At 51.0% G+C, this 24185-nt stretch overlaps 1 protein-coding gene and 1 long non-coding RNA gene across 26 annotated transcripts in view, besides 8 other annotated features; one reads left to right on the top strand and one right to left on the bottom strand.

Moving 5' to 3' along the window:
* Positions 1-24185, bottom strand: part of CTIF (cap binding complex dependent translation initiation factor) — a 324187-nt gene that overhangs the window by 21033 nt on the left and 278969 nt on the right. The window lies entirely within an intron of this gene.
* CTIF-AS1 (CTIF antisense RNA 1) lies at positions 307-24185 on the top strand. 2 transcript variants are annotated; one of them, XR_935449.3, is made up of 3 exons: positions 307-696; positions 1953-2064; positions 7186-24185. It is a non-coding gene; the product is annotated as a CTIF antisense RNA 1 (long non-coding RNA). The 2 variants fall into 2 exon arrangements; XR_007066459.1 differs by lacking the exon at positions 1953-2064.
* Positions 2757-3535: an enhancer, noted in NCBI's record as "H3K4me1 hESC enhancer chr18:46365021-46365799 (GRCh37/hg19 assembly coordinates)". NCBI's record gives its function as "activates a minimal SCP1, AML or CMV promoter by ChIP-STARR-seq in naive H9 embryonic stem cells {active_cell/tissue: H9 hESC(naive)}" and the evidence as "EXISTENCE:reporter gene assay evidence [ECO:0000049][PMID:30033119]".
* Positions 3536-4314: an enhancer, noted in NCBI's record as "H3K4me1 hESC enhancer chr18:46364242-46365020 (GRCh37/hg19 assembly coordinates)". NCBI's record gives its function as "activates a minimal SCP1, AML or CMV promoter by ChIP-STARR-seq in naive H9 embryonic stem cells {active_cell/tissue: H9 hESC(naive)}" and the evidence as "EXISTENCE:reporter gene assay evidence [ECO:0000049][PMID:30033119]".
* Positions 4585-5484: an enhancer, noted in NCBI's record as "H3K27ac-H3K4me1 hESC enhancer chr18:46363072-46363971 (GRCh37/hg19 assembly coordinates)". NCBI's record gives its function as "activates a minimal SCP1, AML or CMV promoter by ChIP-STARR-seq in primed H9 embryonic stem cells {active_cell/tissue: H9 hESC(primed)}" and the evidence as "EXISTENCE:reporter gene assay evidence [ECO:0000049][PMID:30033119]".
* Positions 5485-6385: an enhancer, noted in NCBI's record as "H3K27ac-H3K4me1 hESC enhancer chr18:46362171-46363071 (GRCh37/hg19 assembly coordinates)". NCBI's record gives its function as "activates a minimal SCP1, AML or CMV promoter by ChIP-STARR-seq in primed H9 embryonic stem cells {active_cell/tissue: H9 hESC(primed)}" and the evidence as "EXISTENCE:reporter gene assay evidence [ECO:0000049][PMID:30033119]".
* Positions 8848-9511: an enhancer, noted in NCBI's record as "H3K4me1 hESC enhancer chr18:46359045-46359708 (GRCh37/hg19 assembly coordinates)". NCBI's record gives its function as "activates a minimal SCP1, AML or CMV promoter by ChIP-STARR-seq in naive H9 embryonic stem cells {active_cell/tissue: H9 hESC(naive)}" and the evidence as "EXISTENCE:reporter gene assay evidence [ECO:0000049][PMID:30033119]".
* Positions 8953-9247: a silencer, noted in NCBI's record as "tiled region #14134; HepG2 Repressive non-DNase unmatched - State 16:ElonW". NCBI's record gives its function as "represses a minimal TATA promoter and a strong SV40 promoter by Sharpr-MPRA in HepG2 cells {active_cell/tissue: HepG2}" and the evidence as "EXISTENCE:reporter gene assay evidence [ECO:0000049][PMID:27701403]".
* Positions 20850-20919: an enhancer, noted in NCBI's record as "active region_13300". NCBI's record gives its function as "activates an Ori minimal core promoter by ATAC-STARR-seq in GM12878 lymphoblastoid cells {active_cell/tissue: GM12878}" and the evidence as "EXISTENCE:reporter gene assay evidence [ECO:0000049][PMID:35858748]".
* Positions 21020-21269: an enhancer, noted in NCBI's record as "active region_13299". NCBI's record gives its function as "activates an Ori minimal core promoter by ATAC-STARR-seq in GM12878 lymphoblastoid cells {active_cell/tissue: GM12878}" and the evidence as "EXISTENCE:reporter gene assay evidence [ECO:0000049][PMID:35858748]".

The raw sequence follows: 24185 nt of genomic DNA, 5'->3' as shown, positions 1-24185 counted from the left end.
CTCTTCCAAGAGACGTTTCAGTTGACTGACAAGTCCAGGAGCTTCGAAAACAGCCACCAAGGCAGCTCCATTACTTGAACGTCCCCGTCTCTCCAACCCTCCCACCCCCTGGCAGGACCAAATACATTGATATTAGCTGAGTGCACACTTAACTGCCCCCGATTGAGAACCAGGTAGATTTAATGAAACCGGAGGCAAAGCCTCCTCCACCTTCCAGTAGGTAGGGGCTGTGCGTCTTGGGTGGAGTTCTCTTTTGTGTGTGAGCGCTGAGGAGTCCCTGCCTGGCAGGAAAGGAGATAAGGGCGTTGGAGCTCAGCCCCAGAAGGAAACAGTCTGGAATCCTTCCCTGAGAGCCACCCTGCCCTCCCACCCGAGATGGCCACTGATAGCCGCCTGGCCTTATCAGCCAGGTGCGGGACCCCTGGGATAACACCGGCTGAGGAGACAGTGAGCGCTTCCCAGGCACCGGGCTGGTGGGAGAGGGGCCTGCCCGCCTGCCCGCCTGCCTGCCCACCAGCCTGGCCCCCGAGCCAGCGTCTTGAATCGAGCAAAGCAGTGGCAAGACAGAAGTGGCGCCTGCTGGAAAGAGACAGAGCGTCTCCTTGATTTCCTAACAGGCCCAGCCATATGCCAGGGGCGGACAGGCCAGCTCAGAACGCCGGGCCTGGCTTGCGAAACAGTCCTTTCCTCCTCTGGGTAAGCTTCCCTGGGGGCGACTAAACCACAGTCCAGCCACTCAATTCCCTAGAGGAGCTGGGCTGAGCCGGGGCCACGAGGGCGCTGCCCTAGGCAGAGAGGTTGAGTTCTCTGCTGTCCCAGAGGGAAGCTCAGGGAGGGCCCGGCTGCAGAGGCCACCCATCAGCTCAGAAGGAGGGCCTCCCCATGCCCAGAGCCCAGGGGCCGCTCCAGCCACTGGCCCCTGCTTGCTCACCAACTGGGCACAAGATTATCTGCAAGGCTATGCCAACCTACAGTTCCCTGAGACTGGGAAGAAGCTTCTTAGAAGATTGTTTATGGGATGCCTACATTAACCAGGTGCCCTCTTAAATGTAGGGGGCTTTTACCAACCTCAGACTTTACAGAGCATGAGTCAGGGAGGGCATAAATAACGAGCAAGGGTCATTGGAGGACTTAGAAAAGGGACACACTGGCCCACTCCTCTGCCACCAAGCACGGAATTTTGAAGAAACCTTTGCTTAAACCATGTTCTTTTTTGCATGATAATCTTGGCATGCTGTATTGAAGAAGGATCAACACTTGTAGTAGCCTGGTTTCCAGACAGAGGTGCCCATCTTCTGGGGTGGGGGTGGGGGTGGGGGTGGAGTGAAGCCTTGTGGCAGGAGCTGGGTTGGAGGGCTATCCTTTGGGTGAGGGAGTGCAGCTGGTTCTGCAGTGGGTTTGGGCAGAATGCAGTAACCAAGGACCAACTGGGTAGGGACAGCTGGGCCGGAGACAATTAAGCTCTGTTACTGTTCAGAGAAGAATCGGGCTGTGCTAAGGGCATAATTAGCATTGTGCTCAGAGGAGCAGCCACCCATTGGAGGAGCAGACAGGCCTGGGCTGAGAAAAGGGCCTGGGGCTGCCCAGGGTGTCAGTAGGGATTTGGTAAGTACTCTTTGCCAAGTCTAAGAGACTCGGAGATAAGAGAAGTTAATTGGCACCTGGAAGTTTGTTTGGCTTTAGAGCCTTACCCTTAGCAGAATATAAATTTTAATAATGGGGCAACTCTTTTTCTAAGTCGAGATGATCTTTTTGGATGAATGAGCATGTGAGTCAATATTCTGTTATCACCTGTGCATTCTCACTGTGTTCAACTGACCAGGCTGCATGGGGATGAGGGCTTAGCCTGGCATTCAGGCGGCTCGCTGGGCCACTTCTGCTCTGGGCCCTACAGTCTTCCCACCTTGCCCCCTTCACAGACCTCCAATCCACCCAAACTCGTCTGTTCACAGGTCTAAGGATGCATCCTGCCCTTATCTGCCTCTGGGTTTTGCTGACAATTCTCTTGGCTGAGCATGCCTTTTCTGATCTTGGCTCCATTGACCAGATCCCTTAAGAACAATGGTAAGAGCCTCATCCAGGAAGCCTTCCCTGATCTTCTCTGACCTCCGTAGCCAGAAGACTCACCACTCCCAGCCTGGGAGCAACTGTTGCTTCTACCTAGTTCTAGGTCTAGTCTAGCATCTACCTAGACTAGCTTTTCTTCACACTGCTCACACAGGCACTTGAGTCCACCTGGGCCTCTCGGAAGACCTGAAGATTGGATTTGAAAGAAAGCATGGCTTTCTGCTGGCTGGGGTGAGGCCATTCGGAAGGGCCTCTGTTCCCTGGGATGCAGCCCCCCAGTGACATAAAGCCTTGGAGCACAACAAGTCCAACTTCTCCAGGGTGTCTGAAGGGGGTAGTAACAACTTTTCATTCATTCACTCATTCAACAAGGAGGCACAGATCCTGGCCTTATAGATTTATGAGTCTAGGAGGGAAGACAGATGTTGCATAAGCAGATCAGCATTTGGAACTAAGGCTGTAAAGTGAGACTGCCTGGATTCTAATCCTGATTCAGCCGCCCCACCAGTCATGTTGTGCAATACAGGCAACCCCTCTGTGTCTCAGTTTCCTTACCTGTAAAGTGGTGATACTAATATTACCTCCCGCCAAGGGTAGTTGCAAGGATTAAAGAAGAGGATGTGGGGTGTTTAGGATAGTATCTGGCACACAGTGAGCTCGGTCAGTGGTGGCTCTTAGAACTGAGTGGGCTGCAAGTGGCACAGTGTAGAGTGTGCTGTGGGGTCAGTGACGGGAAGAACTGTTCTCACCTGGGTCAGGAGAGGAGGCTCAGGGACAGCTTCCTGGGAAGAAACCTTTGAAGCTACAGCCAGGAGAGTGGGGTGAGGAGAGGAAGAGAGGGAAGGACACCACAGGCAGGGAGAAAAGTGAGTCAGGAGTGCTCAGAGAGAGGGTGGCAGGGTGAGACTGAGAACAGGAGGGGTGAGCCAGTGAGAGGGCTGGTGGGGTAATTCAGGGGAAAGGAAACAGTGGCCTAGCCGAGCCGTGGAGAGGCAGAAAAGTGGTGGCCAGATTCAAGAAAATCTGCAAGAGCTGCTGCTCACAGACCCTGGGAACTGGCAGCAGGGTGGCGGTTGGTGGTGAGTCAGGGATGGCCTCGGGGCTGTAGCCGGCACAGCCTGGAGGTCCTTCTCCGGGAGGAGGTGCAGGCTTGGGGAGCAGAAGACAGGTTCCACTAGGACACTTAGAGATTGAGGGGCTGGTGGGCAGGCCCGGGGAGGTGTCAGGGAGATGTGCCTGGGCCTGAGATGCAGATCTAGAGTTTGGGGGCTGCTGCTGCCCTTGAATCTGCCTGTGACCAACACAGGCTTCAGGGCCTGCCCTGGCAAATCACTATTGCTGCCTGTCCCTTGGCAAATCCCTCAACTTCTCCATATGCTTCTGGTTAAGGGGCCACCAAATAAATGAAGTGTTGGAGAAGGCTGTAAAGGTGAACACAGTGCCTAAGTGAAGGCTCCTACACTAAACTCTGTGTTGGCCCCGAGGGAGACAAAGGTTGTGCAGTAATGCATATACTTTGAGCCCACCCAAGTGTGCACAGCCACAGCCTCAAGCACAGACATGCTGTCTGTGTTGTGCTTTCTATGAAGTGTGACTATAAAGGGGACTCGTTTCAGGGGGGCGGACAAAAATCAATCTATATATTTCCTCAGATTTTCTCCAGTATCTGCCTGTGCAAGGACCCAGGTGAGACATCTTCCAGGCGGCCACTGCACCGAGAGGCTCACGTGAGGCGTGGGCAGCCCAGCACGCTCAACTCTAGGAGGGCACTGGCTTGGGAAGGCAGCGCACCTGCCTTCTGATAGGCATTTCGCCTGGGATGAAAGTTCAGTGTAGGCTCCAGCTCCTATGTGAGTCTACCCACAAGCTGACGGGCTGTTGATGTGCCGGGGTGTTGGGAGAAAAGCAGGAAGAAAAAGCAGGTGCTTTGTTGCTGTCATTTCTGGATTTTAATTAATGCCAAGACTACACACTTGGAGAAGTGAGAACTCTTCCTACTTTAGGGACACTGATAGGGAGCAAGTTTGGGGGAAAGTAGAAAAAAAAAAATCAGTTCTTCTATTTTCCAAGGTAAAATAAAACCCCAGGGAAGACGGACTTTGTTTTTAAAAGTCTCTCTTCCTCAGTGTGCCCCCGTTCTGGCATTGGACAGCAAAACCAAATCAGAGTTCCAGAGACAGCCCCACTCCCTTCCCACCAGGGAGGGTGTGGGTGTGGGGGATTCTTAGCCTCGCAGTCACCCAGTTGCCCAGGGCTGCTGGGACAGGTTGGTGGGGGGCAGGGGCTCAGGGCATCTGGGAGCAGGGAGAGGGATGCATCCAGTGGGTAGTTCCCAGCCCTGTGTTTGTACTGGATCCACCTAGGAGAGAAACAGATCCAGCCCTCACTCTTTGATTTTAGGGCTATGTAGGGCTGTGGGGGCCTAGGAATCTGTATAGTAAGATCTCTGGGTGTTTCTGGTGCAGTCAGAGTGGGCACCACTGAGAAAAATGTCTCTTCAGGTGGATGGGAGTGGCAGAGGCTCCATAAATGACTGAGACCCTCTTCTTAGCTCTAATCGCCTTTGTTCAGTTTGGGCTGGGCTCACCCAGGCTCAGGTGCCCCTAGGCCCATAGCTTCCACCCCTGCCTTCAGGTGCTTCCCCCAGCCCAGACCTCAGCCCTCCCCAGCTCCCAGGCCACTCCTCCTCCTCTGAGTTCCTGCAGCACTGAGAATTTGAACCCCGGATGTGACATGAACAGTGGTCTCGGTGTCCTCTGAGTGGGGATGTGTGCCAGGCCCCTGCTAAATGCTTGATGGGCCTTAGACAGCCCCCTTCTCGCCCCCACCCTGTGAGGCAGGCACCAGTGCTCCCTTGCTCTAGGGAGGGGCTCTCGTGAGCACAGGGATGAGGATTTGGATCCGAGACCATGAGGCTGTTGTTCCTCCCTTTACCAATGTGTGTATGGGAGGCCCCGGGAAAGGAGACCCCCCAGCCCCTGGGCATTGGATGGGAGCCAGGAGGAGAAAGATGAGGTCCCCAGTCCTTGGCAGCTCGTAACCTCTGGACCTCACTCCTTTGCCCCCAGGCCAGGCAGTGCAGGCTTTGCTGTCAAACCCTGGCTGCCTCAGTTTCCTGCCCTTCCCCGCTCCTTATGCGATGGGAAGGGACAAACAGCCCAAATGTGGGCAGGGATGCAGGACTAGTAGCTGACAATTTCCCAGGGTGTCCCACTGGGCCCCGGCGCCCTCTCAGCAGGCTGATGGCAGGTGATGTGGACTAAGCAGGGGACACACTCACAGATGGCATCTATGTGCGGTGCCCAGGAGGAAACCAGAGGCACAGCTTGGGTGGCAGCAGAGCCAGCACCAGAACTCAGATTTCCTGACTCCTAGCTGGTTGTTCCTGCACCAGGCAAAGAGGAGAGGAGTGGAGGAGGAAGGCCTGGCTAATCCTTACCTGGGCATGACCAACGGCAGTCTCCTGGGGCTTCCCACCCTGCTTCCTTGCCCCTCTAGGGGAATGGCAGGTGCTGGCAGTCCAGGGGGACCTGGTGGGATGTTGGGACCTGGAGGGCTGAAGTGATGGGGTTGGTTGGGGATCTCACTCACTGGTGCCTCATAATCGCCCAGGCCTTTGGAGTTGAGGTGTGAGAAGCTGGAGGGCCTGCCCCATACGCATCTTAGGGGGCAGCAGGGTGGTGGAGGGGTCCCCTAGATGCCAGTGGTGACCCCACTGTCCTCCAGGCAGAGCAAGCAGGGCCCACACAGCCCTTAGAATCAGGCCTTGAAAAAGACCAGGCTGAGCATGGGGACCCTGAAGGGCAGCCCAGGGCCTCTCTGGGGGCTGCTGGCTGTGCTCAAGAGGGGGCACCTGATGGGACCACGTCAGCTCCAGGAGAAGCACAGAATATACTTTTTAACTCTGACTTTGTTGCTGGGATCTTGAATGCTCCAGAGCACAGTGGGAGCTGCCTCTTTAGAGAAGCAGCTGCTGGGGGAGGAGGGAGGTGGGGCCTGGAGGTGGGTGGGCTCCAAGGCAGTGGCTCCTAGGGCGGGGGTATGCATTTGTGCCTTCCTGCAGCAAATGTTCATGGGCTAGAGGGCCTGGGGCCATGGGGACCAAACAGCCCGGTGCCTGTCCCCAGGCCACCTACAGTGGGGGGCAGAGGGGTAGAATGACAAATGCAAACAGGGAGCTGGGAGGGAGCCCCCTTTGGATGGATGAGGTGATCAGGGCAGGCTTCTCTGCAGAGGAAACCCAAAGGTTGAGTAGGGGGCAGCCAAGTCAGGGGTGAGGGCAGGTGGGGGGCTTGGTGGGAAGGGACCATGACCGACAGCTCCCACACAGTCCCCTCTCCACACCTGGCCTGACATGTCCTACTTGATCCTCACATAGTCCCATCACTGCTTTATGGACCACGCCAGAGGGGGGAGATCAGATGATCTCCAGTGTGCCCAAGGCCACTCATGGGGGTCAGGGAGCTGATTCTCAAATCCAGGAATATGCCTTGAAAGTCTGGGGCTCCCTTCTGCACTGTGCTTATAGATGTGGGATCCTTAGCTTTCTTGGGAGCATGGATCCCTTTGAGGATCTCGATGAAAAATCTGCACCTCTCCCAGAAAAATGCACCTCTGCACAGGTTCACAGATGTCTGCATACAATTTCAGGGTTCTCAGACCCTGAAGGCCACCAAGGGACCCAAGTACATGAGCCTTACACAGCACAACCTAAATCGTCAATGGCAATGTCTCAGGAGTGTAGGACAGTGACTGCCTCTGTAAGACCATCAGCACAGCCATGGCCACACATGTTGTCTGGAGGATCAGGTGGCCTTTTTCTGTGGCTTTTGAGGTTGAGGCTGGGTACCCTTGTGGCTAATGCATAATGCCAGGATGGCCAATAAAGACACCATAAAAATTCCCTGCCGTGTGCCTGACACTGGACAGATTTAATCTCCAGGTCTTCTGGGAACCCCGCAGAGGCAGGGGCTGTTTTCTCATTTTACTGATGGAAACTGAGGCTCAAGGAAGTGAAGGAATTTGTTTCAAGTCCCAGGCAGTACCACGAACATGGGATTTGAAATCACGCAAGTCTGACACGCAAACCTTGGTTCTTTCCTTTTTCCCTTCTCACAGAGGGTGCTTTTCGCTTCCCGGAAGCTGGCAGGGAGTTCCTCTAAAGCGCAGGTTGGAGTGGTCAGAAGGGAGCGAACTGACAGCACGAGGAAGGCTCAGCGCATGCCAGCTCCACTCACGGGAAATGACTCACTGCAGCCCTGCTGCTCTCGGGCTCCGGGGGACACATCCACATTTCCTGTATCTCGGCTAGAGCCTTGGGCAGTGTGAGCTGGCAGGGCAGATCGCTGAAGGCGGCTAGAGATAGAAAACCACCCAGCTCTGCATCCTGAGACAAAGAAGCCTTTCCCTGGGCTCATATGATAGAGGTACGTTGCCTCTGGGCCTCAGTTTTGCCATCTGTAAAATAGGGTGAAGGTCAGACTAGATTGGGCATATTCAGTGTGGGATCCCCCTAATGACGGCATCAGCATCACCTGGGAAACTGCAAATTCTCCTTTATGACAGTGGCTCTCAAACTTTAATGTGCATTGAAACCATCTGGAGGAGAGGAGCGTTTCCCACTTGAGAACCACACAGCGGGATCAGGGAGGGGCGAACTATAGTCCACCGGCCAAATCTGGCCATGGCCTGCTTTTTATGGCCCATGAGCTAAGAATAGTTTTTTCCATTTTTCAGTAGTTGGGGAAAAAAATCAAAGAATATTTTGTGACATATACAAATTATATGAAATTCAAATCTCAGTGTCCATAAATAAGGTTTCGTTGGCACACAGTCACTCTCAGTCATTTGCATATCGTCTACGGCTGCTTTTTCCGCTATGAAGACAGAGTGGAGGCGCTTGCTCTCCTGGTTACATGCTGCTGCTCACGCCCTACACCTCGCAGGGATGTGGTTAAACTCGGCTTTGCCTCTTGGCCTGCAGAGCCTAAAATATTTACTATCTGGCCCTTCATACCAGACATTTGCCGACCCTCATCTACAGAGAGAAGGGAAAGGAAGAGAACGGGAGGGGAGGGGAGGGGAAAGGAGGGGGAAGGGGAGAGAAGGGGTTTGTGCAAGAGCTGGGGTCCCTTCTGGGGAAAAAATGAGCTGTCAGGGGCTTTTGGAATCTGAGAGAGTCCTGCTCTGCGCTGGGCCAACATTTGGAATCTTTTGCACAGTTGCTTTGAGGGTGATCTGGAAGGCCCCTCTGACCAATAAAGACCTTCCCTCTTGCCTGTATGAAAACCTAACATTCCACTTCTAGAGCAGGGGCTCTTACCTGGGAAGCCCCCCATCCAGAGGCCAGGCTTCGGGGGTTCTAGGTAAGCTTTTAAGCATGCAGGTGTTTTCTGGGGAGAGTTTGGTGGCGCCAGTGACCTTCCCTACCCCTCCCAAATCCCAAGCACCCTTTTTGTTCCTTTGGGGCACACATTTTTCTCTCCCCACCCCTCCTTTCAAAATGTGAAAGTCCCCGGAAGGGGGACACTGTGCACCTACATCTTCCTACCTAGGAAAGGGGTGAGGTGATCTGATGGGACTAGGCAGGCTTTAGGAACGTCCAAGGAGTCTGAGGAGAGGTGGAGGGCGGCGGGGGCAGGGGGGCATTTAGAGAGAGGAAATGGGAAAGAGGGCATCTTTCCCAGAGGGCTGCAGGACCTCCGAGCCCACACTATCTGTACTCATCCACTTCTCCGCATCAGCAAGAGGCATCCAAGACTCGCAGCCCACACGGCTACCCTCCCACCCTCACTGGTGGGCACTTCCACTCCCCAGGCCCCACGAGGCCTCCCGCCTGCAGCGTTAGCCAAGCAAGTCTCAACTCTGGCCCTGGGATTCCAGGTATTTTCCCAGCCAGCCGCACCTCATCTAATTGCTTTCCAGTCAGCTAATCCCTGGCCCACGCCCTCCACTCCAGCCAGGCAAGCCACCTCTGTGTGGCCAGCAGGAGCTTCTGAGACTTCCCATGGCATGCATCCAAGCCTGGGGCAGCCTCTCGCCTCCCCTTGCCCAAACCACATCCTCTTTGCCCTTCCCCACACCTCAAACTCTCCTCTGACTAACATTTCCAAAAAAAGTAGAGCTTGGTCCAGTCCAGACCAAAAGCGGCAGACTAATTCATTCCCTACCACCTCCGCCCCCCAGACTCAGCACTTCCTGACTATCAGGAAAGAACAATCAGCAAAAAGTGGAGCTGTACCTACTGTTCAATTTCTAGAGCTAATTGTTTTCAGCAGGGTTTTGGCCTTAATTAAAGGATAATTAATTACTGAATGTGTGTTTGCATTTCCACAAGTGTGTTTGCGTTTCCTAAGTCTGGCTTTTAACCCTGGGAAACCAGATTCAGCAAATACTTTCATGTTTCAATACTTCTGAGTAAGGGAGAAGGTCTTAATTACAGAAATGGTAGTCCTGTGTAATCAAGGGGCAATGCAAGAATGAGCTAATTGTGCCTTCCACACACTCGGCCACGATTTCTGTCGAGCTGCTGTGAGGAGAGGGTGGCAGCTGCCCAGCCCTGCCCAGCACTGTGTCCCTATCCGTGGATTCTCTTATCCCTGTCACGCAACTGGCCACCCCTGCCACAGCCCTTCTCTTCCCTTTCTATGTGTTTCTTCTTTCCTACCTTTTCCCCCTCTTTAGCACTTTGGGAGGCTGAGGCGGGATTGCTTGAGCCCAGGAGTTTGAGACCAGCCTGGGCCACATGGCAAACCCCGTCTCTACTAAAAATACAAAAAATTAGCCGGGGGTGGTGGTGCACACCTGGAGTCCCAACTACTTGGGGGGCTGAGGTGGGATGATTGTTTGAGCCTGGGAGGTTGAGGCTGCAGTGAGTCCTGATTGTGCCACTGCATTCCAGCCTAGGTGACAAAGGGAGACCCTGTCTTAAAAAAAAAAAAAAAAGAAGGACCACGTTTTCCAGACCCTGCAGGGAGCTCTCCAGCCAGGCAGCCCCCACACGCACACTGGCTGTGAGCTTGAGGTTTTAGTATTCATGGTGCCCCTTTGCTGCCTGGTGCTATGAGAGGCTATGAAAAGTACTTTTGAGACTTTGGGAATCCAGTTACTTTAGGGGTCCAGAACTGCTCCAAAAGCCTGAGGATTCCAGAAGCTGCCTCCAGACCGCCTGGTCCAGCGTAATAGCCACAGGCCACATGTGGTCTTGGGCACTTCAAATGTGCCTGAGTCCAAATTGAGAGCTGCTTTCAGTGTAAACTACAGACTGGATTTCAAAGACTTCGTACCAAAAGAGAAGAACGTAAAAAATATCTCATTGGTACTTTTTAATATTGATTACACGTTAAAATGGTGATTATTTGGATATATTAGACAGCATAAAATTAATTTCACCTGTTCCCTTTTCAGTTTTTTAAAATGTGGCTACTAGGCCATGTAAAATTACACGTGGCTCACGTTATATTGTTACTGGCCATGTTGCTCCATAGGTGAATTCTGCTGTAATTGTCAAGGTTTCCGTCATCTTCAAGGTCTGTGACTGTGGGTGTCCTTTCCCACCCACTCCATTCTCCCACCCTTCGTGCCCCCTGCACATACTCCTAACTTCCTCCGTTCCTCATGGGAGGGGCAGTGAGGAGGGCCCTGCTGAGCGCTGTCACAGTGTACAGCAGGTGCCCAGGCCCCCACAACAATCCCTTCCCCATGGGCTCTTGGTCCAGGGAGCTTTGCTAGAAGCTCCTCCTGACTTCTCCTAAAGATTGTGGTTTGTGGGATTCTGACTTTGGACAGACTGAATCTCATATGAAGCTCGGTGGAGGGTTGTTGAGAAAAGGCCACTTAACCAAAGGCAGGGACAGAACAGAGGCAGCTTCGCAGGCTGAGAGCACTGTTTGCACTGGTTCACTCACAGTGTGGGCACAAATGCCCCTTTTGGGCTTGCTTGCTGGGGTGATGGGGGGTGTTTCTTTTCCCTTTCCCGTTCTGAGCTCATCTCCAGGGACCACTACCAGCCAGCCCCACTCTGCTCACTCACATTGCCCCTTCAAGGGTTCTGGATTTATCTCCACTGAGAAATCATTCCAGATGAATTCTAGAAGGGCTGACTATTGTCTCTGGCTTTGCTCAGTCTAGGCACTCTACTTCCTTAATTCAGTCAATAAGTATCTACTGAGGACCTGCTATATACCAGGCACTATTCTAGGCACAGGGATACAGCTGTGAATAGACACGTTCCCTGCCTTGAGAGAGTTTCCATGCTAGTTGAGAGACAGAAAATAAGCGATTAACAAAGAAAACTCCAAGCCAGGCACTAGTAGGGCAATGAAGAGAAGGCAGTCAGGCTGGGGACAGTGGTGGGGGGACAGGCTGGGGCGTGGTCGGGGGGGGGTCTGAGAAACTGACTTCTGAGCAGAGCCCTGGACAGGCACCTAGAAGAAGGGCCTTCTCCCAGAGAGTGAACCAAGGTCCTGAGCCTTATTCTACTGTGTTCTTCCACATTTTTTCCCAGTAAGCAGCACTTCAGTTTATACAATATAAAATATGCTGTGAACCCATCCTTTTATTTCATGTCTTTGTTTTTTGGGGGTGGTGTACCTCTCAGACAGTGAGCTACAGGGAAGGGAGGAAGTCAATTTATAATCAACAAATCTGGCCGGGCGCGGTGGTTCACGCCTGTAGCCTGTAATCCCAGCACCTTGGGAGGCCAAGGTGGGCGGATCACCTGAGGTCAGGAGTTTGAGATCAGCCTGGCCAACATAGTGAAACCCCGTCTCTACTAAAAATACTAAAATTAGCTGGGTGTGGTGGCACACGCCTGTAATCCCGGCTACTCAGGAGGCTGAGGCAGGAGAATCCTTGACTCTGGCAGGCGGAGGTTGTAGTGAGCCAAGATCACATCACTGCACTCCAGCCTGGGTGACAGAGCGAGACACTGTCTCAAAACACAAACAAACAAACAAAAATAATTAACACATCTACCCAAGGGCCAGAGAGGGTAAGCTGCAGAAGACTGTCTGCCTCCGAAACCCACCTTCTTCCCCTAGCATTCCCCTCCTCTTCCTGGCTACAAGAGAAGGCTGATCCTGGAGGTTCTTTCTCAAAAGGCCTGGCCCCGCCCACACTCTGACCTACAGTTCAGTGCTGGCGGCAATGAGAGCAGAGCCATCAAGAAGGAGCTGGAGCCTGGCTTGGTCTTGAGGTGGACAGAAGGGAGGAGAAAAGTTAGTTCCCTAAACATCATTCACATCTGAAGGCAAGAATGGCAGCAGGTGGATATCATCAATGCTAATTTGAGCTACAGGTCCTGAGAGCTGGAGTCGGTTGGAGAAAGATCCACAGGGGTCCTGGAGAGCTGTGTGTGCTTTATTCACCCTCGGCTCTTAGTGCAGGGCACCGTTTGCTCCTCCTCTCCCCAGGAGACAGCAGCTCTGTGAGGACAGGGACCCCAGCGTGCTTATGCCCAGGGCCTAGCAGTGGGTCCAGCACTCGGCACCCCAACTGCTAGATGGAGGGCACCTGTGCTGGAGCACGGAGGCTGGGCAAGGCGGGGGCCCACTCTGGGAAGCACGGAGGTCGGGGGGCTCTGCAGACGTCTGCAGAGTTGCCTGGATCCTCCCTTAAGGTGGGAAACAGGCAGGCTTATATTTTGACTTCTGAGTTACCTGGAGTAACTGATGGCCATTTTTTGCACCCCCAGTGCCCGGTTTATGATCTCTGAAATGTGTAAGTCACTGTCCCTCCCTCCCAACCAGTCCTCCCAACCAGACCTGCACTCAGAAAGTCCCCCAGCCTGGCTCCCCTAGTGTTTGCTGCCATCCACCTGCTGGGAAACTGCTAAGGGACGGTGAGGGTGTGTGAGCAGGAGGGCATCCTACTGTGTGATTTTAACCCCAAAGGATTACCCCAAAGGATTTAAAAATCTAGACGGATGCTTGTGCCTGTGTACATATACATCTTGTACCCACAACTCTGGCAAGGTACGATTCTATCCTCCCCAGTCCCGTCCATTAAACAGCTCAGAAAAAATAATCTGCACCCCCTCCCTCCTCCAAGCCTTCAGCAGCTGCCGGTCCCCTCCCACCTTCAGCTCAGCTCTGCAGATAGCAGGGGCCTCTTGAAGTTCAGACATTAATTACCCAGTCAGAAGATTTTTCAAAATTACAAGGCATGGCCCCAGGAGATAAGAGGGAGGAGGAGGAGCAGGCGGGGGAAGGAGATGGGAGGGCAAGCCGTCCAGGGCTGCGAAGGCGGGGCTGGGGGCTGGGAAGGTGCCCCTCCCCTGGGGAGAGTCCCCCTACTGCCCTCACTGCCCCCACTCGCCAGGCTTGTGCCCTCTGCAGGGAACGCAGAGAACAGGGATTTATAGCTCGTGCTGGGCCCATGCCCGAGGGTGCGTCTGTGGGGAGAGAAAGGGCTGGGGACAGGGATGTAGGACTTTTCTTGTTGGTCCTGAGCAGAAAAGTTTTGACATCACCATCTCTTACCTCCCTACCTAAGCCTTAAAGTAGAATTCCGGCTGGAAAATGGTTTTGTGAATTTAAATTGTTTTCAAGCAAGGGGAGATAGGCGAAATCATTCTCTCTCCCTAATTAGGAGGATGGATGGAGCTGAGGACTCCCCGGGAGGGAACTGGAAGGAAGATTTCACTGGGGGTCAGCAGGGCAGCTCAATCTATGAAAAAATGCCAAATAGTTGATGTTTATTAGGAAAAACTGCTCCCTGCTATATACCCTTCATAAGGCTAGTTAATTCCCCCGTGAGCACATGCATTCTGAATCTCTGTATTTCAGAGAAAATACCCAAAGCTTGCACCCACACCACCTTCCAAAACAGGATTAAAGAGATGTCCTCCTGAGCCATGTTGAGATTGGTTTAGAAATCTCTTGAGTTTTAAGACTGTTTAAAAACGGTTCTGGCTTGGAGACTGGTTTCCCTTTGGAAACCAGTGTCTGGTGGAAGCTGGTATTTTTATAACTCTAGGCTCTCTATCAGATCCTGTGTTACCATGGTTGCTAAGGGGAACACTGGCTTCAAATTTCACATTTCAGTTTGCAGAGTCTGGCTAAGGAAGCAGAACAGTCAAAGGGTGGGGGCTGGGGAGAGGGTCGGGAGTGGAGGTGGGGTGGGTGGGAGACTCCAGTTCTATCTTGAGGAGGTCAAGGATCCAGGCAGCTTCAGATGGGGCCGCTTCCGTGTGTTTATGTGTGTATGTTTGGGGCGTGGGGGTCTGGGTAGGTCGGCGTCACCCCGCTGAGTTAACTTCACTGTGTGTGCTGAGCGGAAGAGGGGAACGAAAGCTCTGGAGGGGACAAAGCGGGTGGGAAGTTATTTCGGCGGAGGTTACAGGAATGGTCGCTTAAGCTGGGGTATTCATAGCAGCAGCTGCTGGCCCTGCAGGGACTCCGATGCTAAGCCAGTGCCCAGGGGCTGGGTACCTGGCCCTAGGAAGGCTACATTCTCAGAGGAACATTCCAGGCGGGGTCTGTGCCTAAGATTAGGGCTGGAATAAACTGTTCATGCAGAAAGGTTCTCCTGATTTTTCAAGCTGCATTCTAGCCCTTCACTTCCTGCTAAGTCTTTTTGTTTGACCGTTACAGTCAGAACAAATTTAAAGGCAATCAGGAGCTGGGGAGTTGCTCTCTGCCGGGATGCCCTTTGAGGTGGCTCTCCTGCCTCCTCGCCTCTTCCTCCATCTGGGCTCCCACCTTCCCTCTCCTGCCCACGCTTTATTTGGAGCACTGCACTCCTCCGGGCACTGAGTTACCCGTGGGCTCCTCTGGCTAGAGACTGCTCCAGATTTAGTTGACTTTGTTATCTCAGCACATTTCTAGCAAGCAATGTGTCCAGGAGACTTTCCAGTTTAATAAGGAAGTAGCATTTTTCTCATTGTTTGTTGAATGAATAAAGGAATGCTCCTTTGTTCCTTCCATGGTGTTGCTTTCTGGCTTAAAACCTTTCCAAGGTTCTTGGAGTCATCCTGCATTCACTAGAACACCTCTGGTGAGAGCCGGAGCTGGCCACGGCTCGCTCATCGGGCCCTCTCTTTACCACCCAGATGGGCCATGCTTATTCTGGCCCCCACGCCTTGGCTCAAAGGCTCCTTCCTGGAGGCTTTCCCCATTTCCCCCATGCCTGTCCACAATCCACTTTCCCTTAAGCCCCAGCTCCCCTGCCCTTTGTCCCCGGCGGCTCCCCACCTCCTTCCCCATTCCATTTCCCCACATTCATCCAGCTTACAATCCATCATAAGTGTTCATGGCTGCTTAATTTCAGGAGGATTGCAAGCTCTTCGCTGAAGGATCACAACTTATATCCCTCCTTCTGGTACTACTAGGAAACTTCGCAGTTCAATAAGAAGCATTGTCTCAAACTAAATCATTGCTTGTTGAATGAGCACAGACTCCGAGCAACATGCAGCCGGGGTTCCATGACAGATGAGACCTAGCCTGTCCCCAGGTAGCAACGAAAGACTGAAATGATTTAAAAGCAACCAAGAAAGGGTCACAAGGCATTAATACAGCCACCTGGCAAAGAGCATATCTGGAGACAGACGTTGACAGCCCCGGGTGGACATTAGTTCTATAGGATGTTGTAAGAGGAATGAATCCAGGCAGGGTGAGGAGGCGGTGGGAAGTGAGCCCGGCCCTGAAGGTGGGCAAGAGCCAGGCAAGAAGAGGAGAAAGATTGTTCTCATGGTGGGAGGAATGCAAGGCCACCTATGGAAATACAAGTGGAGCAGTTTGGCTGGAGAAAGGGGTTGTGTTTGCTTATGGAGGCCTTGGATGCCCCGTTGGGAGAATGGACCTCACTTTCTGGGGCTGACTGTGTTGCGATTTTTTTTCTCTTGAGCCATGCCTGGAACACGGTTTGTATTCAACAGCAACACACAAACTGACAGTTCCCTGCAAGGCTGTCATATGCCACTTGCTTCACAGAAACACCTCGCTTATTTTAAGCCTGAAAACAAAGCCACAGGATGAGTATTATTCTCATTCCTATGCTACAGATAAGAAAATCGAGGTTTCAAAAGACGGAAGAATGAGGTTAAAGTCCCACGGCTAGTAAGTGGCACAGCTGGGATTCAAACTCAGGTCTCTCTGGCTCCTAAGGCTATGCCCCTCACCCAAGGGTTTTTGGCTGGTCAGTGGATGCTCACTGAATGCACCTAGGATGCTGAGACTATGTTCCTTAACCTTGGCCGGACATTAGAATCATTTGGAAAGCTTACATATCCCTGCCGAGCAAACCCCATTTTCAGGAAGTTTGGTTTAATTGGTTGAAGAAGGGGTCTGAGAGTTTGTAATGTAGTAAAAGCTTCTCAAGTTGCAGGGCTGAAGATAATTCCCCATGGATCCAGCCAGCAAATCTCTGCTCCCCATCAGAGTTCATTGTTACCCCTGGGGAACAGACTATCTTGGTCACTTCTGGCCAAAGTGGGTCCTGCCCTGGCCTCTGCTGGGTAGCTGAATGCCCTGCTCTTGGGAAAGGAGGAATGGTCCGCCTGGAAAGGTGCCTCTGAAGAATGTGTTGCTTGACTCTGTGAAATAGCAGAGGCTCTCCACCCACACCCGCTTCATCTCAGCCTTTTCCGAGGTCAGATTTCCCCTGGAGCCAAAACAATGTGAGCAATTGAATGCACACTCACGCAAAAAGTTTAAAAAGTGGCTCTCTCATTGTTGCACAGAGCAATTTCATTTCCTGAGAAGCCTGACTTGCTGGCCTCTGTGTTCTCCTCCCTGGCCTGTGCCTGCCCACCTCCTCTAGGAGCGCAGCCAGTTGTGTCCCTTGGGGGCACCCCTCAGAGACACCCCTCAGAGGCATCTGCCCTCTCCCTGCCCTTCCCTTGGAAAGGGCAGGGAGGGGCAGATGGGATTTCTGGGGCCTGGAGGGGAGAAGAGCCAGGGGGCAACCAGAGGGAGAGGTTGGTGGGGATCAGGAGGTGGGTACAGAGAGATGGGAGATTCCTGGCAGAAAGCGCCCTGCCTTCCTCCTTTACTCCACTCCTGACCTCTGGCTATGGCTGCTGGACTCCAAAGAGACAGGAGGGTTGGAATTATGGGTAGGGATGAGCTGGGGGGATTGGATGGAGAGAAGAAAGGTGGGATGTTCAGGGGAGAGAGAGGATGAGAGGAAGTGGAGGAAAACAGGCGCATGGAACTTTGTTGAAAATTCCCCTGCTTGGCTGGGTGCAGTGGCTCACGCCTGTAATCTCAGCACTTTGGGAGGCCGAGGTGGCCAGATCACCTGAGGTCAGGAGTTTGAGACTAGCCTGGCCAACATGGCGAAACCCCGTCTCTACCAAAAATACAAAAAATTAGCTGGGCGTGGTGGCGGACGTCTGTAATCCCAGCTCCTTGAGAGGCTGAGGCAGAAGAATCGCTTGAACCCGGGAGGCGAAGAAGGTTGCAGTGGGCAGAGGTTGCACCACTGCACTCCAGCCTGGGCGACAAGAGTGAAACTCTGTCTCAGAAAAAATCAAAAAACAAAACAAAAAAAAAAAGGAGAGAAAAGAAAATTCCCCTGCCAGAGAAATTTTCAACAAAGGACTTTAAGTAAGGGGCTCAGAGAGAGGCATTCAATGATAACCTAGAAGAGCCTCACAACAACACCACGGGATCACAGAGGCACGGAGAGGCGGAGGAGGTGGAGAGCATTGTAGGGTCAGGGAATGAAGGCTCTAGACAAGCCAGACCCACAGCCTGGCATGTTGGCTCAGAGATACCAGCTGATGGGGAGATGACAACCCTTTGCTCAGGCCATAAACAATAATTGCACCCCTCCTGTGTGTGCAGCCCTCATAGTCACAGTTAGGCTGAGGACCTGGGCAGGAGAAAGAGGTCCTTAGAATGCTATTATAAAATGCTCATGGGATGTTTTTCCATTTGTTTGTGTCTTTTTTCATGTCTTAAAATAATATGTTATAGTTTTCAGTGTACAAGTTTTTTACTTCTTTGGTTGACTCTATTCCTAAGTATTTCTTTTGGATGCAATTGTAAGATTGTTTTCCTAATTTCCTCTTCAGATAGTGCACAGAAATAGAAAGGATTTTTGTATGTTGATTATGTTTTTTGCAAATTTACTGAATTCATTTATTAGTTCTAGCAGTTTGTGTGTGTGTGTGTGTGTGTGTGTGTGTGTGTGTGTGGAGTCTTTAGGATTTTCTATATATAAGATCATGTCATCTACAAACAGAGACAATTTTATGTCTTCCTTTCAGATTTGGATGCTTTTTATTTCCTTTTCTTGTCTAATTGTTCTGGCTAGGATTTCCAGTACTATGTTGAATAGGAGTGGTAAGAGTGGGGATCCTTGTGTTATTCCTGATCTTTGATTGGAAGATTTAATATTGTGAAAATGTTCACACTATTCAAAGCAATCTGCAGATTCAATGCAATCCCTATCAAAATCCCAGGGGCATTTTAAAAACAGAAGTATAGAAAACAATTCTAAGATTCACTTGGAAATATAAAAGAGCCCAAATAGCCAAAGCAATCTTGAGTGAAGAAGAACAAAGCTTGAGGCAATCACACTTCCTAATTTCAAAATGTATCCCGAAGCTACAGCAATCAAAACAGTATGGTACTGGTATGAAAACAGGCATATAGACCAATGAAACAAAATAGAGAGTCGAAAAATAAATCCACACATTTACAGTCGACTGATCTTCAACAAAGGTGCCAAGAACACACAATGGGGAAAAGACAGTCTCTTCAATAAACGGTCTTGGGAAGACTGGATATCCACACGAAGAAGAAATTATACTCTTATTTCATACCATATACAAAAATCAACTCAAAATGGATTGAAGACTTAAATATAAGACCTGAAACTGTAAAACTACTAGAAGAAAACATAAAGAAAAAGCATCTTGACGTTGGTCTGGACACTTTTTTTTTTTTGGATATGACTCCAAAAGCACAGGCAACAAAAGCAAAAATAGACAAGTAGGATTGCATCAAACTAAAATGCTTCTGCACAGCAAAGGAAATAATCAGCAGAGAGAAAGACAAAGTATGGAACAGGAGAAAATATTTGCAAACCATACATCTGATAAAGAGTTAATGTCCAAAATATATAAGGAACTCCTAAAACTCAATGGCAAAAAACCTAATAACTCAATTTAAAACTAGTCTAAGAATTGGAATAGACCTTTCTCCAAAGAAGACATGGAAAATGGCCAGCAGGTATATGAAAAGATGCTCAATGTCATTAATCATCAGGGAAATGCAAATTAATTAAAGCCACAATGAGATATCACCTCATACCTGTTAGAATGGCTGTGAGCAAAAAAAACAAAAGACAAACTGGTAAGGATGGAGAGAAATTAGAACCCTTGTACACTGTTGGTAGAAATGCAAAATGGTGCATCTGCTGTGGAAAACAAAATGGAGGGTCCTCAAAAACTTAAAAATAGAGCTGCCATATGATCCAGCAATCCCGCTTCTGAGTATTTATCCAAAAGAGCTTGAATCAGGATTTTGAAGAGATATAGCACTCTCATGTTCATTGCAGCTCTATTCACAATAAGCCAAGACACGGAAACAACCCAAATGTCCATCAGCAGATAAATGGATAAAACAATGTGTGTGTGTGTGTGTGTGTGTGTGTGTGTGTGTTGGGGGTGGGGGTGGGGAGATGAAGAGTGGTTGGGTAATGGGTACAAACATACAGTTAGATGGAATCAGCTCTAATGTTTGATAGCACAGTAGGGTGACTATGGTTAACAACAATGCATTATATATTTCAAAATAGCTAGAAGAGAGGACTTGAAATGTCCCTAAGACATAGAAATGATAAATACTCGAGGTGATGGATATCCTAAATTCCCTGACCTGATCATTACACATTCTATGCATGTAACAAAATATCACATGTACCCCATAAATATGTACAAATATTAACCTCCAAGAAAAAAATTTTAAAGTGGTATATACATACGATGGAATACTATTCAGCCTTTACAAAGAAGGAAACTGCAATATACAACAACATGGATGAACTCTGATGACATTACTAAATGAAATAAGCCAGTCACAGAAGAACGAATACTGCATAATTCCATTTACATGAGGTATCTAAAATAGTCAAATTCAAAGAAGCAACGAATAGTGGTTGCCAGAGGCTAGGGGGAAGTGCAGATGGGGAGTCGCTAATCAATGGGTGAAAGTTTAAGTTATGCAAGATGCATATGTTCTGGAGATCTGCACAACATTATGGCTATGGATACAATACTGTACTTTATCCTTAGAAACCTGTGAAGAGGGTAGATCCATATTCAGTATCCTTACCACAGTAAAACTAAAAATAGAAATTCAAAAATATTTAAAAAATAAAAAGGAGCTTGCTAAGCAAATATGAGTTGTAAATAGCAGAGCAAGGAGACTCCTGCAGCTACAGATGACCAATAATCTTCTTCAATCACTTTGAAAACCACCTCGGCAGAAACTATTTGTTCTTAAACAAGAAAAGCACACATTGAAAATTCTTCTTTTTCATCTCTGGAAGAAGGATCTCTGATTGGCATGTTAGTTGGGGCAAAAATGGAATCAATTCCACCAAGATCTACTGGGATCCTACCATATAGGTGCTGAGTTATGCACCAAGAAAACAAACAGAGTAGCCCCTGCTCTGCCTGCAAGGCAGTGAAATGGGGTGGTCAGATCTGGATTCCAGGACTGATTCTACCGCTTGGTGGCTGTGTGGCCCTGAGCAAGTTGCCTGACCTCTCTGCTCTCCTCTGAAAAATGGGGATGATAATCTTCAAAGTGCTGTCTGAGTTAAAAGAGAAAAGAACACACGAGGCACTCGATTGAGATGGAGGCGTCCATGCAGTGAGATGTGCTGCTACCGTTACTGAACACTACTACAAGGCAACGTGAAGAGGCTGGGGTGAGGATGGAGCAGTAAGGACAGAGGACACTTCCAGGTCCCTTAGGAGGAAGCTGTTGGTGTGCTGAGGGGGTGCCACACAGAAAAGGTGACTTCAAACTGGGCCTAGGAAGAAGTGTCAGGGACAGGAAGACAGAGAGGCAGAGATGACTCCAAAGTTTCAAGCTTGAGTAACTTAAAGAATGGTTAATTTGATGAGGTCAGGGTGTGAAAGGATGTCCCCAGGGACTCCCAGAGAGCTGGGTGTCCTCCAGGCTGAGGCGCCTGGGGACTAAGCACATGCTTGAGCTAAAGGAGCGTGGGGACCGAGTAAGCTTGGACCTCAGAATGAAGGGGGCCTCTGTGAGCACAAGGACCCCCAGACGGGCTGGATGGTGAGGACTTTGCATCTATCCCTTGGGTTTGTCCTCACCCTCAGCAAGACCCTTCACTCAGAGATGGCCTGTGGGTTTGGGTTTTACTCAGAAGCAGCAAGGAAAGCACTGCAGGGGAGCCCCGGGGGTACAGACGCAGGGGATGGAGTGAGTGACTTGACAGCGGAAAGGCCGTGGCGTGGGTTCTGGGGCTGCTACCTGGCTGCAGGGAGGCAGGCAGCATGGGTGGGGGCCTGCATGAGAGCTGCACTGAGCAGGGGGTCTTGGGGTGCAGTTCTGACCACATCCTTTTGGAGGGTCCTGAGGTATGACCTGGGACAGGTGTAGTGGGCAGCTGGAAATGTGGGCCTGCGGGTGGTTCTGGGAGTTGGGGGGATCTCAGGGCAAAGTGGGTGCTGTGGATTTGGGGTCAGACATCTACATGGCCCCAGGGGGAAAGCCTAAGCTTTTCCAGCATGGAGGGGGCTGCAGCTGTGCCTTTGGCTCTGGAAACTTCCATAAGCCGGCTCAACCTGCTTTAGGGATGTAGGTCAAGCCTGGTTATGAGGCAGCAAATGGCTTGAAGAATTCAGGGGTCCCTACGGAGCTGCGAAAGGCAACAGGCTGTTCACAAGGATTGTTGAGATCCGTAGGGCACCCCTTTAAGTCCCCATCTTTTCTTTTGGCCCAGTTTTAGGGAAGCCAAGATTTCTCCTGGAAAGAGCCCTACCTGGAGTTCAGGAGCTCCAGACCAGCTCTGGCATGGACCAGCTGTTTGTCCCTGGGCAGGACACTCAGCCCAAGTAGCCCTTTAAGATTAGGCATGTGCTCAGCCCCTAGGCCCCATCAGCCTAGATGACAACTAGCTCTCTGCCAGACGCCGTGCCCCGGGCACTTCCTTCCATCCTCCGGCCTCGTTGTCCCTAGTGCACTTAGCTGTCTCTCCATGCCTTGCCACCCTCCCTGCACCTTGCAGAGAAAGCAGCATGAGCACCATTTACAGATGAGGAAGCCAAAGCTCAAAGCAGGTAAATGCTTCCCAACGTGGTGCAGTTGATGAACAACAGAGCCAGGATGTGAACCCTGCTGCAGCCCGGCCCTAGTTAGCTTGGTACATGGGGCTCTGCCCTCTTCTTTTACAAATTGGAGAAGACCATAGGTGATTTATTTATTCTTCAAGTTTACCATGAGCATTGGATGGGTCTGTGTTTGTCAAACTGGCCCGAAAATTTGAATGCATCCAACAAGTGTGCGTTAGGCGTGGCTCTTTGTTCTTGTCTGCACACATCTCCTGGCACCTCCGGATCTCACACTGGAATATTTGCACTACCTCAGGCGGTGTTAAAAGTGTCCCAGCAGCCAGGGCCGGCGCTCGGCTACAGCCTTGCCTCCCTCTCGGAGGAGCAGGTGACGACAACACCAGGAGGTGTCCAGATCACGCAGAGGGAACGTGTTGGGGCAATTCAGGTCACTGCCCTAGAACAGTGCTGCTCCCTGTCTCGAGGTGGGTTGTCCAGGGCACAGGGCAATGCAGGCAAGGATGGGAGGACCCAAGAGGCCACGCAGGCCCGCTCCTAGCCTCCATGTCATTCCAAAGGGTGCAAAAAGCAGAGCTGCCAGCCCTCCTGGAGCTGCATTCTGAGCTCAAGGCACTTTGAGAGTGAAACAAAGTCAGGAGAGGCCATTGTCTGAATCTGCGAAACAAATCTGATTTCAAGTGCATTTGTTAAGAAATGTGGTTTGGGTACATGGAGTGGCAGAGGCTCATGGGTTTACAAAACACCCGAGAGAGAACTGTGTGCTCTGTGCTTGTCTGGAATGAGCATGCTATTGTTCTATAAACGGATGCTTCAAAAACACTCATAAATACACTCCCTCCCTTCTCTTAAATTGCTCTATTATTGTCTTTCTTTCAAAACCATAAAGATGCCCCTTGACCCCACAGCTCTCCTTCCCTGCTGCCATTCACAGAAAAACTTCTCGAAAGACGTGTCCACACTCCTGTCCTCACCTCCGCTGACACCCAGGGCCCGTGACCTGCTTGTTGCCAAACCCAGGACACTTTTCTGTCCTGGTCCTTTGATTCTCAGGAGGCTGTTCCTCCTTGTGTCCTGGTAGCCCCTGCAGAGGCCTGCCGGTGGTGGGAGGGTACAACATGGGGGAGGCGTCCAGGTCCCAGTGAAGGGCTGCTGTGAGGGTTCTTACACGCCCCCTTCCTCTCCCTCTCCATCTATACTCTCTTCCTGCGTGGTTCCATTTGGTCCCCAGCTTTGAGCACCAGGTGCATATCGATACTTCCCAGAACCCTCTATCCCCTACCTCCATGCGTGACCTCTTCAGGATCTCTAGACCCTTCCACCCGGCCAACCTCCGGGCAGTTCCCTAGGGACAGCTAACAGGCGACTCAAACATAACTGACTCTTGCTTTTCATCCCCATTCTATTTCTCATCCAGTATCCTCCATCTCAGAAAATGGGGCCACCAGGCTGGTAAACGGGGAGCCCATGTCCCCTCCTCCCTTCCCTCCAACTCACATTACCGAGTCCTGCTGGCTCTAACTCAGAAATTCAACTAGAGCCTAAACGTGCTCTTCGCCCTCACTCCGAGGCTGTCTTCCAAGCCACCAACCTCTTGCTGCGCAGCCTAAGCAGCCCCACTCGGCTTCCAGCTTCCACTTTGCCCCCTTTCAATTCTCTCCCCTGACAGCAGCCAGAGGGGTGTAGAAAGTGAGTTATAATATCTGGCAGTGCAACCACCTGCTAAATTCCTGCTTCTCAAAAGTTCCTTGGTCATTCTTGTTTCTTTCTTTTTCAGATGAAATTTAGAAGAAAATATGTTTTCATAGAATAAATAATCCAGTGGCAAACCAGTCCAATCCAA

Source organism: Homo sapiens, chromosome 18, assembly GCF_000001405.40.
Source record: "Homo sapiens chromosome 18, GRCh38.p14 Primary Assembly".
NCBI lineage: Eukaryota > Metazoa > Chordata > Mammalia > Primates > Hominidae > Homo > Homo sapiens.
The sequence above is the reverse complement of the archived record's forward strand: the minus strand, read 5'-3'. Positions and strand labels throughout refer to the sequence as shown.